The sequence below is a fragment of the Homo sapiens genome, chromosome 15, assembly GCF_000001405.40.
Source record: "Homo sapiens chromosome 15, GRCh38.p14 Primary Assembly".
Classification (NCBI taxonomy): domain Eukaryota; kingdom Metazoa; phylum Chordata; class Mammalia; order Primates; family Hominidae; genus Homo; species Homo sapiens.
The window spans coordinates 32640575-32652842 of record NC_000015.10 but is presented as its reverse complement, the minus strand read 5'-3'; the positions used below and the strand labels follow the sequence as shown (position 1 = coordinate 32652842).

Sequence of the window (12268 nt, the reverse complement as noted above, 5' to 3'; positions counted from 1 at the left end):
TAATAGTTATAGTTGTAAAAGTTAAAAATAGTGCTGTCCAAAATTTTAAAACATCAAAAGACATATCAGTGAGGTGTATAAATGTATAAGCTGGCAAAGAAAAGAGATTTGGGAGACTGCATTTCATTCTTGTATTCTTATTTTAATTGAGAAGGTGGCTAGAATTAGTACAGTGCTTGCAAACACCTGAGGCCAAAACCTCCAAAGCTCTGTATCCCAGCACACCTTTGCCACTTTCCTTTTTCCCCAATGGAGGAAGGAAAGACCTAAGACACAGGCCAACACCTGTGCTCCAGTCCTCATCCTCTCCCACCTCCTCAGTTGCTGCTCCCCATCCCACATCTTCAACTCTCCCTCTCTGCTGGTTCTTAGCAATTAGCACTTCAGCAAGTTCAATTTCTCACATCCTAAAACAACCTTAACAGAAACCGTCCTCAGCTCTAAATCATTCACCCTTCCCCCAATCCTTCCACAGCTATTACTCATCTCCCCTTTACCTGACATTCTGGGAACACATTTATACGTTGCATTTCTTCCTTGTTTATCCCCTCAATGCCCTGCAGGTATGGTGGGCCCCCACTACTCCCCAGAGCCGGCTCTGCCCAAAGCCCCCACAAAGCAGTAACTTCTGTGTTGCTACCCCCAGTGAACACTTGACACCCAGTGGTTTTTACTATTTCATGTGACCTCTCTGCTGATCCTGACAGTGGTAACCACTGCCCCTTCTCAGAACACTATTTCCTTGTTTTCATTACACTCTATCTTTCTGGTTCTTCTCCTTTCTGGCCGATTTATCCCAGTTTCCTTTGTGGATTCTTCTTCATCTACCTGGCCTTTGTCTTAGGTGCCCTGTTGTTCTCAATACCCACCCAGGGTGACCCCATCCACCCCTACAGTATCAGCCACCACTAACACGGGGATGACTCTGAAACCCTTCCTTCTCCCAGACTTCTCTCCTGTGCCATATACATCTAAGTGCCTTCTGGATACCCAGGACACTGTAAACATACACAAACATGTCATCGTGTTCATCTTTCCTATCCTTTTCCCCTCCCAAAAAGAACCTCCCCGTTTCTTTTGAATTTCTCATTACTATCCATGCAATTGCTCAACAGAGAAAAACTGAAAATCATCCAGAGACTTTAAGGATTGAAGTTCAAGGTGGACAAAATGCAACCCCAAAGGCATGGGCCCATTGGGCGGTCCCAGTCCATTCATAGATGGCCTACAAGCCCAATGTTCTCATTGGTTCCTCCAGGGTGAGGATAACCTAGAAACAGATTTTAGTCAAGACACATAAGAGTCAGCTGCACTGCTTTCTCCAACTGCAGAGAGAGACTAGCCAGAAACGGAGTGTCCCCTACAGTTCAAGGTTTGCTTCACCCCGCCATCCTCAAATGGGAAGCAACTGTTGCCACCCTGTGGCAAAGCGGAGGCACTGCAGCTCCTTTACCAAGGCCAAAGCTTGGCAGAGTAGAGGCTCCTAGGATCTGCCTCTTCAAGTAGCCTATCATCCACAGGACTCTTTCTCCACTTGATATTTATTAAGAAAATAACCTTGGGTCTCTATTTCTAAGTGAAAAATTTGAAGTCCAACAGTCAGTGTTATAAAAAAGAACGTATTTTATTTTATTTTATTTTTCTGAGACAGAGTTTCGCTCTTGTTGCCCACGCTGGAGTGCAATGGGCGATCTTGGCTCACTGCAATCTCTGCCTTTAGGGTTCAAGCGATTCTCCTGCCTCAGCCTCCCGAGTAGCTGGGATTACAGGCACGTGCCACCATGCCCAGCTAATTTTTTGTATTTTTAGTAGAAACGGGGTTTCACCATGTTAGCCAGGCTGGTCTCGAACTTCTGACCTCAGGTGATCCGCCCGCCTCGGCCTCCCAAAGTGCTGGGATTACAGGCGTGAGCCATCGCGCCCGGCAGAACGTGGGTATTTTAATGTTTGGCAATATGGATTTAAAATTACTCAGAGCCATCAAATGCTAATGTTTATACATTTCTATCTTAATGGCTAGATAACTGGTGTTATCACAGTGCTAGATAGCTGGTGGCCTAGAACTGTGGGGAAAATGAACAGCTGGCACTGAGCAGCCTATCTTTTACCTGAAGCTGTTAATGTTCTGAAAACGAAAGCACATTTTCTGGTTGGATTCATCCAAGGCCATCCAAGGCCATCATCAGTGTCAGCTGGCACAACCAGTTCTAACTCCCAAGAGCTCCCATCTCACAGCACATGGTTCTCCGAATCAGTCCCCTGGACAGTTGGTGGCTTTATTTGTTTCTGGGGATAATACAACAGTAGCCATTTAGCTATGTCTTGGAGACCAGTGAGCAACCGTGGGCTTGGGAGAAGATGGTTACTGCTGAAATATATGGTGCACTGAAGCATATCTGAACTGTATTGCTAACTGATGAGTAATCAAAAATAAGACTGGGGCGCCGGGCGTGGTGGCTCACGCCTGTAATCCCAGCACTTTGGGAGGCCGAGATGGGCGGATCACGAGGTCAGGAGATCGAGACCATCCTGGCTAACATGGTGAAACCCCGTCTCTACTAAAAATACGAAAAAAAAATTAGCCAGGTGTGGTGGCGGGCACCTGTAGTCCCAGCTACTCGCGAGGCTGAGGCAGGAGAATGGCATGAACCTGGGAGGGCAGAGCTTGCAGTGAGCTGAGATCCCGCCACTGCACTCCAGCCTGGGCGAAAGAGCAAGACTCCGTCTCAAAAAATAAATAAATAAATAAGATTGGGGTAAGCCATTAAAGACTGAAAACATGTTGTTGATAATCCACAAAGTGAGAGGAGGAAGGCCTGCAATTCAGTTACTAATGGCACCCACTGATTGCATGTAAGAGTGGGCTGGAAACCCCATTTTATTTTATTTTTATTTTTCAAACACCAACTCGAACCAGACAAGCCCATTTTATTTGGGCCGATTTTATTTGAGAGAACTAGGCTTAGAAAGTTGCCAGGATTACACATAGCTAGAAAATAGTACGGCTACGGGTTAACCCGAGTTCTCTGCCATAAACATACACACTCTTTTTTTTCATGTAATGCCAAGTAGGTCCCTGTTTGTCTTTGTGTTTTTATTTGCTTTGGACTAAGAATTTACACATTTGAAAGATGCTCCTTACCAAGCTGTTTTTAAGGCGCCCACGGAGAAGTTAAACATAACCCCCAATCCTCTCTGGATGTTTTGGCAAATGCTTCTACCCCAGCGACCACTTAAAGCTATTAACGACCAGGAGGCTGGCTACCAGGGTTCAGGAATCTTCCAAAATAAACTTCTAGTCTAGTTGGCCCTCTGCTGGTTTAGTCCCAGGACTGCAAAAAGTCCTTCTAGCTCCTTGGTAGGCGCTGTACAAAGGGCACAAACCTTGCACCATGGTGATCACAGTCATAGTCAATTCTAGATAACAGACATTTTTGCTCACCACATTATCACTAAGCTCATGGCAAGAACCTCTAGGCAGAGATTTTTAAAAACAGAATAGAAATGGAATATTTTCCTTGAACTAAAAGGCAGAAAGTCTTGACAGATCCAGATGTAAAACAGTATTTACATACTTATTGCCATTAGGTATATTTATTTCCCCCTGATATTATACATTAATTCCTCAAATATTTACTGAATGCTTACTATGTGCCTGGAATATAATGCAGTTAATAAGCAGATATAGCCTCATGGAGCTTACATTCCAGTGGAGAGATAAACAATAAGCAAGAAAACAAACAATGATTATAAATGACAAAAAATGCTATGGAGCTTTAAAAAAAAAGGCTGGACATGGCGGCTCACGCCTGTAATCCCAGCACTTTGGGAGGCCAAGGCGGGAGGATCACGAGGTCAGGAGGCTAACACGGTGAAACCCCGTCTCTACTAAAAACACAAAAAATTAGCCGGGCGTGGTGGCGGGCGCCTGTAGTCCCAGCTACTGGGGAGGCTGAGGCAGGAGAATGGCGAGAACCCGGGAGGCGGAGCTTGCAGTGAGCCGAGATCGCACCATTGCACTCCAGCCTGGGGGACAGAGTGAGACTCTGTTTTTTTTTTAAAAAAAAAAAAGGAGACTGCAACAGAGAATGTAGGGGGGTGCTACTCAGACAGGGCAGTCAGGCAGCCCTCTCTGAGTGGGTGACTTTGAAACTCGCTACACAAGGAATGGGAGGTTGATAGCCTCCCATTGTTGATCCCATCCAATGTGTTGATAGCCTTGAGGTGGGAAGAGGCCGGTGTGACTCAGGGCCAGAATGCGTGGAACAAAGTAGGGAGTACGATTGACTGGAGCTGTGGATCCTCGTAGGTCATGGCAAGAAGGGTTATTTTTATTCAGGGTACGATGGGAAGCCACCAATGGAATTGTAACTACGGAGATGACACTAATATGGTTTAAACTTTTCAAGTTTAACTCCTGAAAAAAGTTTAACTCCTGTTCTTCCTGTGAAGAACAATCGAAAAGGGATCAAGAATAGAAGCAGGAAGATGAGTTAGGAGGCGATTTCAAAACTCCATGCCAGACATGATGGTATCTTGGACCAGGGTGTTTGGAGTAGAGCTAGAGAGAAGCAGACAGGAAATTGCACATGGATTTTAGAGATAAAAATGAAATAAATTACTTAAAATTGAGGCATGAAGTGTGATGGAGAAAATCAAGGGTTACTGTAGGTATTTAGTTTGCATATATGGCTAAGCAGGGGCACTACTCATTTAGACAGAAAAGACTGATATAAACAGGCTGGGGAAGGTGGTGGTTTGAGAAATCAGGATCGAAACCTGGCAATTTAGCAATTAGTGTAAGCCTATGGATATGCAAGAAAGAAATGTGGGCTGAAATACAAACACCGGAGTCACCAGCCAAGAAATGGATTGAGAGTCAAGAGAATGAATGAGATCAAGTAGATAGAGAATTGAGGGAAATAAGAGAAGTGGACCCAGCACTGAGCCCTGGAGAACTTAACTTTTAAAGGCCGCCAGAGAAACCTGTAAACGAAACTAACAAATGGGTAAAGAAAAAAAGGAAAAAAGGAAAGCCCAATACTTATTTGTTTATTTAAGGACTACATTTCCTCGCCCTGCTACTTTGCTGTTCACGTTTATTTCCTCAGTACCTAAAACAGTGCCTGGCACTCAATAAATACTAGTAGGTTTAATGAATGAGCGGTGAGAACAGTGGGCTACAATGGACCAGGAGAGAATGAGAGGTGAAGAAGTACAATTGGCATGTGAGGAAAGGCTGTGAAAGGCAGCTGTGAAAGGTTGCTGTGAAAGGCAGCAGAAAATTGGAACAGTAACTAGAAGGGATATGGAATCAAAGAAGATATGTTTTTTTTAATGGGATATATGATACCTCACTGACCTAACATTAATTTATACTGATACTATATTCCTATACTAAAAGGCCAATTTATAATTCTATATTTGAGAGCAAATATACACATTTGTTAAGATCCATTGATCATACAATTAATTTATTTAAGTAGACAAGATAGATATTTGTCTTCTATGTACCATGTGTTGGGCAGTGAACAACTCTGCCTGCAAGGAACTTAACATCCAGTAATTATCTAAAGTGATGATGATGATGATTTGTTTAGAAATTATTTCATCGTAGCACAGTTATCCATGCTAAAACTTTATTTTTGCTTCTGTGGACTGGAACATTACCTGCTTACAAGTAAGTGAATTTAAATCCTACCCCTAAGCTAAACAGAAGGTTATAGGAGTTAAGTAACTTGCCCAAGGTCATATTAGTAATAAATGATGAAGCTGGCATTCAAATTCGGGTGTCTCTGACAATGGTTTGTGCTCATAAGCACCATGTTAAGTGTATTTGAAATTCACACCAGAATACAGTATTACTATAAAATATGATAATATATTATGTATATTCTTTCTGTAACAATTAAAAATAAACTTTCCCAACTTGGTTCTTCACAATAAAATCCTAAAATCAATGTTGGAAGGGTATGGAAGATACTCCATGTGTCTGTCAGAGGGAATTAGCATCAGGGAGTGTGAGCAAAGATAATGCAAATAAATGGATGAGGTGAAACAATAACTAACTCACATGAATAAATGATCAGACCACCCAACAAATTCAATGCCAAGGTCCCAGACTGGGAAAAACCCAGGCTTTTTATTTTGTTGTTTTTGCCCCAAGTATCTTTGGACTATTTTCTTTGTTAGTTTTCATCCTAGCTATAGTATACAATTCTAGGAAGACTCCCAAGATTCCCACCTGCTGGGAATATAATGAGATATCAGTCCCTTGTTATCCGAAAAAGGTCATGGGATAGTCACTCCCAGGATCATATTACATTATAATTAGAAGACTAAAGAGATATTCTCCTTCCAGCTATGAGAAGGCATGTGGCTTACAACCTGAGGCGGCCTCTAAGAGCTGAGAGGGGCTTTGGTTGGCTGACAGCCAGCAAGAGAAAGGGAACTCAGTCCTACAATATAATTCAAATGGAATTCTGCCAACAGCCTTAACGAGCTTGGAAGAGGACGCAAGCTGCAGCCAAGACGACACCTCTGGTCAGCACCTGAACACTAATCCGCACCAAACTCCTGAGCAGTGGAAAACTCAAATAATAAATGAATGCTGTGTGAAACTGCTAAATTTGTGGTAATTTGTTATACAGTAATAGAAAACTAAAATTCAAGTCAGTATTCATCCCTTCCACAGATACTGATAGGGGAGACTTAAGATTGCTATGTTAGGCCGGGTGTGGTGGCTCACGCCTGTGATCCCAGCACTCTGGGAGGCCGAGGCAGGCGGATCATGAGGTCAGATGGAGACCATCCTGGCTAACACGGTGAAACCCCATCTCTACTAAAAATACAAAAAATTAGCCGGGCGTGGTGGCGGGCGCCTGTAAACAGCTACTCAGGAGGCTGAGGCAGGAGAATGGTGTGAACCCGGGAGGCAGAGCTTGCAGTGAGCCAAGATTGCACCACTGCACTCCAGCCTGGGTGACAGAGTGAGACTCTGTCTCAAAAAGAAGAAAAAAAAATTGCTATGTTAAGCACATTATTCCAAGGGTAATAAGGGAAACAGAGTTTTTAATTCTGAATTGTCCTAATCCATGATCTTTCATGTCTCCATGCCTTTTATTTTTTTAGTTTTTGTGGGTACATAATAGTTGTACCTCCATGCCTTTACACTTATGGTTCCCTGATGAACTCTTACTCAAACTTCAAAACCCAGGTCAAATGTTGCTTCTTCAAAGCAGCATTTCCTTATAGCCACCCCATCCACTCCTAAGCAGACTAAATTACTCCTGTTTGCTTCCACGGCGGCAGCTTGTGTGTACATCTATCAAAACACCTGCTGGGATGCACTGTCATAACTTTTGATGTGTGTCCCCACTTCCCTCTCCACTCAGACTGTGAATCTTTAGGGCAGAGCTGCACCAGTCTCCTGCCTAGTGCCTGGTATATAGTGGGTACTAAATAGTTGGATACTGGAGGGAATGGAGTCTCTGGATAAAGAGGCTTTTGATGCCCCGGGAGTGGCTGTTTCTTTTCCAGCACAGCTGATCAGGCCTCAGGTATTAGTGGAAACTCAGAGAACTCCATGACAACAGCTTAGGTGAATAACCAAGCACTTCCTGCCTTAAAAAGGTAGATATTTATTGTTTGTCTCAAAAGAGCTGGCCTGAAATATATAGGTGTGCTTGAAGTAACGGTGACAGATGCTGAGAAGGACTGAGATTCTCCCTAAAAGGGATGACAGGAAGCTCTGTCGGATTTGTTCTAATTCAAGCCATGTGCTAGGTTTGCATGCTTGCCGATTCAACGCATTTGTGTTAATCCACTCCTGAAATCAAATGTCAACCTAAACAGACTACAATCTCACCGAATTAGTTTTACTCAATGGCTTAAAACTATGGGTAACAAAACAGAAATAAGAATCATCTATCAACAATATTCATGGCATTCACAGAACCCTAGGGCAGATAGCATTTTTAGAAAATCACAGACTCTGGCAAAATAGTGCATAATCAATCTGTAGGGAACAAACAGCATTTGGTTGGTATGCTTTTAGAGATAATTCTCATTTTCCTTCGGACCCACTCCATGGGCAAATCCTTGAACTATAAGGAAATGCTCCCTTGCATTTAACTGAAATTAACCATGCTACTTCTTTAGGATTCTGCCTTAGTGGAGAAGGAGATCATTAGAATCAGAGGATAAAAAGCAAAGCATGGAAATAAGGAATCTGTCTAACGCTGCATCACCAGCTCATAGAAGCTAGATTCTCTTTATAAACAAATCATTAAACAACAAACAAATGAAGTACTGCTTTCTAATACAAGTATTATGACCACATTGCCAGAAACTTGGAAAACTTCAGGGGGAAAATGGTCTTGCCACCTTAAAACGATTTAATTATTCTTAATTTATTATTTAATAAAATTGTTATATTTTTAAATATTTTCAAAAGCTTTCACGTAAACTCTTAATGTCAGTACCTCTTTTGTCTCCTCTTGGGTATACTGGAGTCATTCCTAGGAATCAAGTCAGATCCTGTAGGTTCTACATTTTGAAGCTCTTTTACAAGTACTGGCTGGCATTGACTCAAAAGGCAGCTATCTGATGACACAATTTCCTGAAGATCAGCAGTGAGGAGAAAACATCATGTCTGGGTTCTAATCTTTCTTTAGTGATAACACTAGATGCTCCTTCATTCATTCAACAAACATTAATTGAGCACCTATTATGTACCAGACATTGTGCTAGGTGCTAGGGCTACAGCTATGAATTAGATAGATAAGGTCCCTGCTCTCACAGGACTTATAGTCTCATGTGGGTGTGTATATGTAAGTATGTAGACACTGTGTAGAAGAAGAAAGGGAAAACCATGAGAAAGTAGAGTCTCTTAAAAATTAGCTTCCTCCTCTGAAAAAAATAGGATAATAAAGGCATCTACTTATAAGGTTGTTGTGAGAAGTGTGCAAATATATTATTTAAAATGCTAACGGAAACTTCAAACCATCAGAACACAGTAAATACCTTCAATGCTCTGGGGGCCCACAAGATTCATGGCCTGGTGAGCTGGATATTCCACTCGGGGCCTGGCAATGCCCAATTGCTCCATAACACCATGAAGCAGCCTCTGGATATCTGCTTCTGAGACCCGGTCAGGGGTCCGGGGGCTGTAAGCAAATGCTGGAGTCCATCCAGATGCCAGCCAAAACAGTAGGCCAGATAGCATGGTAGAGACCATCCTGGAGACCATTGTCAACCTGCAGATAAAAGACCAAATGTATACTGATAGGCTACAATCGGCAATTGTGATAATACAATTATAATGATGCAACCACTCCAGGTTGTGGTTCGAGGACCACCCAGAAAGGGGTTGTAACAAAGAATCCTTAGGAGGTTGCTTTTGTCTTAAGTTTCCATGCTAGGCAGAGCATCATTGCAGAAAGGTATTAAACAAAACAGTTGCAGGTATCCAATTCCCTCTGTTTGCATTCTTGAGAAAGCTAGGCTGGAATGGCGGTTCTCACTCATAATTTTTATCCTCCTTGTAGCTCCCTGAAAGTTCTGCATTACTCCTAACTTCATCACTCTCTCCCTCTCTTACTAAAACAAATAAACCAAACTTGCTTACATTTTGAGAAAGAGATAGTGGCATCTTGGGTTTTCCCAGTCTCTGGGAATAAAAGTCTAACAGGAGGGAGTCAGGAAGACACAAATCAAGAAGCTCAGGAAGGTTGGGAGTGGTGGCAGGGAAACATTTCAGTTTAGCAAACATCCAATACGTTTGCGATCCTGAAAGGAAGGAAAATGTTCCTTAGATCCAGCCCTGCAATCTGCTGGGGTAGTTTGAGGTTTGTTTGCTCAGCCACATGCTGAGTGATCGTAGGCAAGTCCCTCAGTTTCCTCCTCTGCAAAACGGAGATAATTAAAGCATTTACCTTTTAGGGTTGTTGTGAGGGTGTGTGCAAATACATGTTAAGAGTGTTTAGGACAATGCCAGGCACAGAATGAGCCCCTATATTGCTATTATTATGTTGCTAACATTGCCTTAACAGTTCTGGAGGTTAGAATATGGGGAGGCAGTGGTGGTGAGAGGGAGTTAACTAGCCTGGGGGTGGGAGGGTCAACCTGTCCAAAATGTTGGTTTCTATGGGTATGTCTGCAAAACAAGTGAACATTATCCTTGCAGCTTACCCCACAGCTGCTTAACGTGTTTGGATGCATGCTTCAGGCAGCGGCCTTGCAAACCCTTTTTTTTTTTTTTTTTTTTTTTTTTTGAGACGGAGTTTCACTCTTGTTGCCCAGGCTGGAGTGCAGTGGCGCCATCTCGACTCACTGCAACCTCCACCTCCCAGGTTCAAGTGATTCTCCTGCCTCAGCCTCCCGAGTAGCTGGAATTACAGGCGCCCACAACCAAACCCGGCTAATTTTTGTATTTTTAATAGAGGCAGGGTTTCACCATATTGGTCAGGCTGGTCTCGAACTCCTGACCTCAGGTGATCCACCCCCTCCCCTCAGCCTCCCAAAGCGCTAGGATTACAGGCGTGAGCCACCAGGACCGGCGCAAACCCTCCTTCTAATCATTCTTCTACTGAGGATGGGGGATGGAGAGGTGGGAGGAGGCAAAATCGTGCATTTCCTTTACTGAAACAAAAATTTTTATACCCTCCAATTTCTTTTTCTGCAAAGAAAAGGCCTTTTCTAGCCACTAGATATAAAACCTTGCTCTCCAAAGAGCTGAGAGTAGCTGTTTAACAGCAAAATCTGCAATTCTGATGGAAAAGGCTGGAGGCAGACACGAGGCTCTCCATCTCCATCTTTCCCTTGTCCACTCTGAATGCAGGATGTCATCCCAGCAAACGCCGCTCTGATTTGATGAACTACACAATCTCCTCCCTCAGTACTCCCTTCCCCTTACTGATAGCCAAACATTCTAATCCCCTACGCATCCTTCGTCTGACCCCAGCCTCCACCTCAAGGATTTTAGCAGGACGCCCTCCCACAACTGGCAATACCAAATCTCGGGTTGGCGGCAGGCGGCCGAGCCGACATCAAAACTGTACTCACCGAGGGGCAGCCCGAGGAGCCTACTGCGGTATGGGCCTTGGTGGGGGTCAGGCCAGGAACGGGCGAACTGGAGAGCTAGTGCGTCACCCTCCTCCGCATCTTAGCTCCGCCCCGGCCCCTCCTCCAGCAGGTGGAAGCTGCCTCGCCAGGACTCCCCAGACTGCATCCCAGATAAGTGTGCCTCTCACCAGGAGCCGCACAGCTCTTCAACCCCCACATTCTGCATACAAACCTCTTGACTATGACATTTCCTAGAGACCCTCTTCAGCTCCATCGACCTCCATGTAAGTCATTCACCTCCTCAGTCTCAATTACAACGTGCCAGATCACCACTACAGCACACCTTTAATTTTGTCAACTTCTAGAATATGTTTTTTGTTTTTGTGTCTAAAGCCTTTCAGCTTCAAGAGGGAAGAGGCAATGAATGGTAGAGAGACAAAAGATGAAGTCCTAAGAACTTTTAATGGTGGCTATGATAAGGTATACCCTGCTCTGAGGGGCCTCTTACTAATCAGGAAAACTATGGGGATATTTAATACAAGAAGCCAGAAACTTCCATTAAAGTGATAAACTTGAAAATCTGTAGAAATATCAGCTCTGAGTGTTATTTCTAAACGTCCACACAAACCATCAAGTAAAATTCCACTTTGGCCTGAAGAGAAACCATACTCCCAGCATACTGTAGAAGTATGTCCAGGTAGTCCCAGATTCTTAAATAAGGGTTTATGGAGCACCTACTATGTGCAATCTTGAACACTGAAATTTGTTCAAATACTAAAATCAAAATGTAAAGCCATACAATAAATATGGCACTACAAATTTGATCAAGATGGAGGATGAGTAAAGAACCTGGGGGTCTCAAAACAAGTAACCTGATGAGGTTAGAATCCAGATCTATTTATCTTAGCTCTAGAGAGCAAATCCATTATCATCTACAGCAATTTTTATGCAATAAATAGAGGCTGGCAAAATTCATTTATGAGACACATGGCCTTTCATTTTGAAGCCAAGCCTCTTTCCCAGTACTTTTTCTTTCACGGATGCTCATCTGCTTCTTGCTTCTTGTTTCAATGCATGCTAAATCAACAGGACAAACACTATCCATTAAATGGCTCTAGGCTCACTGGCCATGCTGGAGTTAGTATTTATTATTGATGCACAGAGACTTTTTTCAATTCTGAGTTTTACTTTAGCTTTGTTCATT

General features: G+C 43.2%; 2 protein-coding genes across 5 annotated transcripts in view, besides 2 other annotated features; both read right to left on the bottom strand.

Annotated features, from left to right (window-relative positions):
• The window catches only part of SCG5 (secretogranin V), a 55383-nt gene extending 44250 nt beyond the window's left edge, over window positions 1-11133 (bottom strand). For all 4 annotated transcript variants that reach the window (NM_001144757.3, NM_001394278.1, NM_003020.5 and 1 more), the window contains exons 1-2: window positions 11065-11133; window positions 9025-9257 (exon numbers count right to left, since the gene is read on the bottom strand). In NM_001144757.3, coding sequence (NP_001138229.1) covers window positions 9025-9250 — 226 coding nt within the window. In that variant the 5' untranslated portion in view covers window positions 9251-9257; window positions 11065-11133. The remainder of the gene's footprint in view (window positions 1-9024; window positions 9258-11064) is intronic.
• ARHGAP11A-SCG5 (ARHGAP11A-SCG5 readthrough) overlaps window positions 1-12268 on the bottom strand; it is an 81623-nt gene that overhangs the window by 44256 nt on the left and 25099 nt on the right. The window contains exon 10 of the mRNA NM_001368319.1: window positions 9025-9257. Within this exon, the coding sequence (NP_001355248.1) occupies window positions 9025-9257 (233 nt within the window). The remainder of the gene's footprint in view (window positions 1-9024; window positions 9258-12268) is intronic.
• Window positions 10361-10999: an enhancer, noted in NCBI's record as "H3K27ac-H3K4me1 hESC enhancer chr15:32934045-32934683 (GRCh37/hg19 assembly coordinates)". NCBI's record gives its function as "activates a minimal SCP1, AML or CMV promoter by ChIP-STARR-seq in primed H9 embryonic stem cells {active_cell/tissue: H9 hESC(primed)}" and the evidence as "EXISTENCE:reporter gene assay evidence [ECO:0000049][PMID:30033119]".
• Window positions 11000-11640: an enhancer, noted in NCBI's record as "H3K27ac-H3K4me1 hESC enhancer chr15:32933404-32934044 (GRCh37/hg19 assembly coordinates)". NCBI's record gives its function as "activates a minimal SCP1, AML or CMV promoter by ChIP-STARR-seq in naive H9 embryonic stem cells {active_cell/tissue: H9 hESC(naive)}" and the evidence as "EXISTENCE:reporter gene assay evidence [ECO:0000049][PMID:30033119]".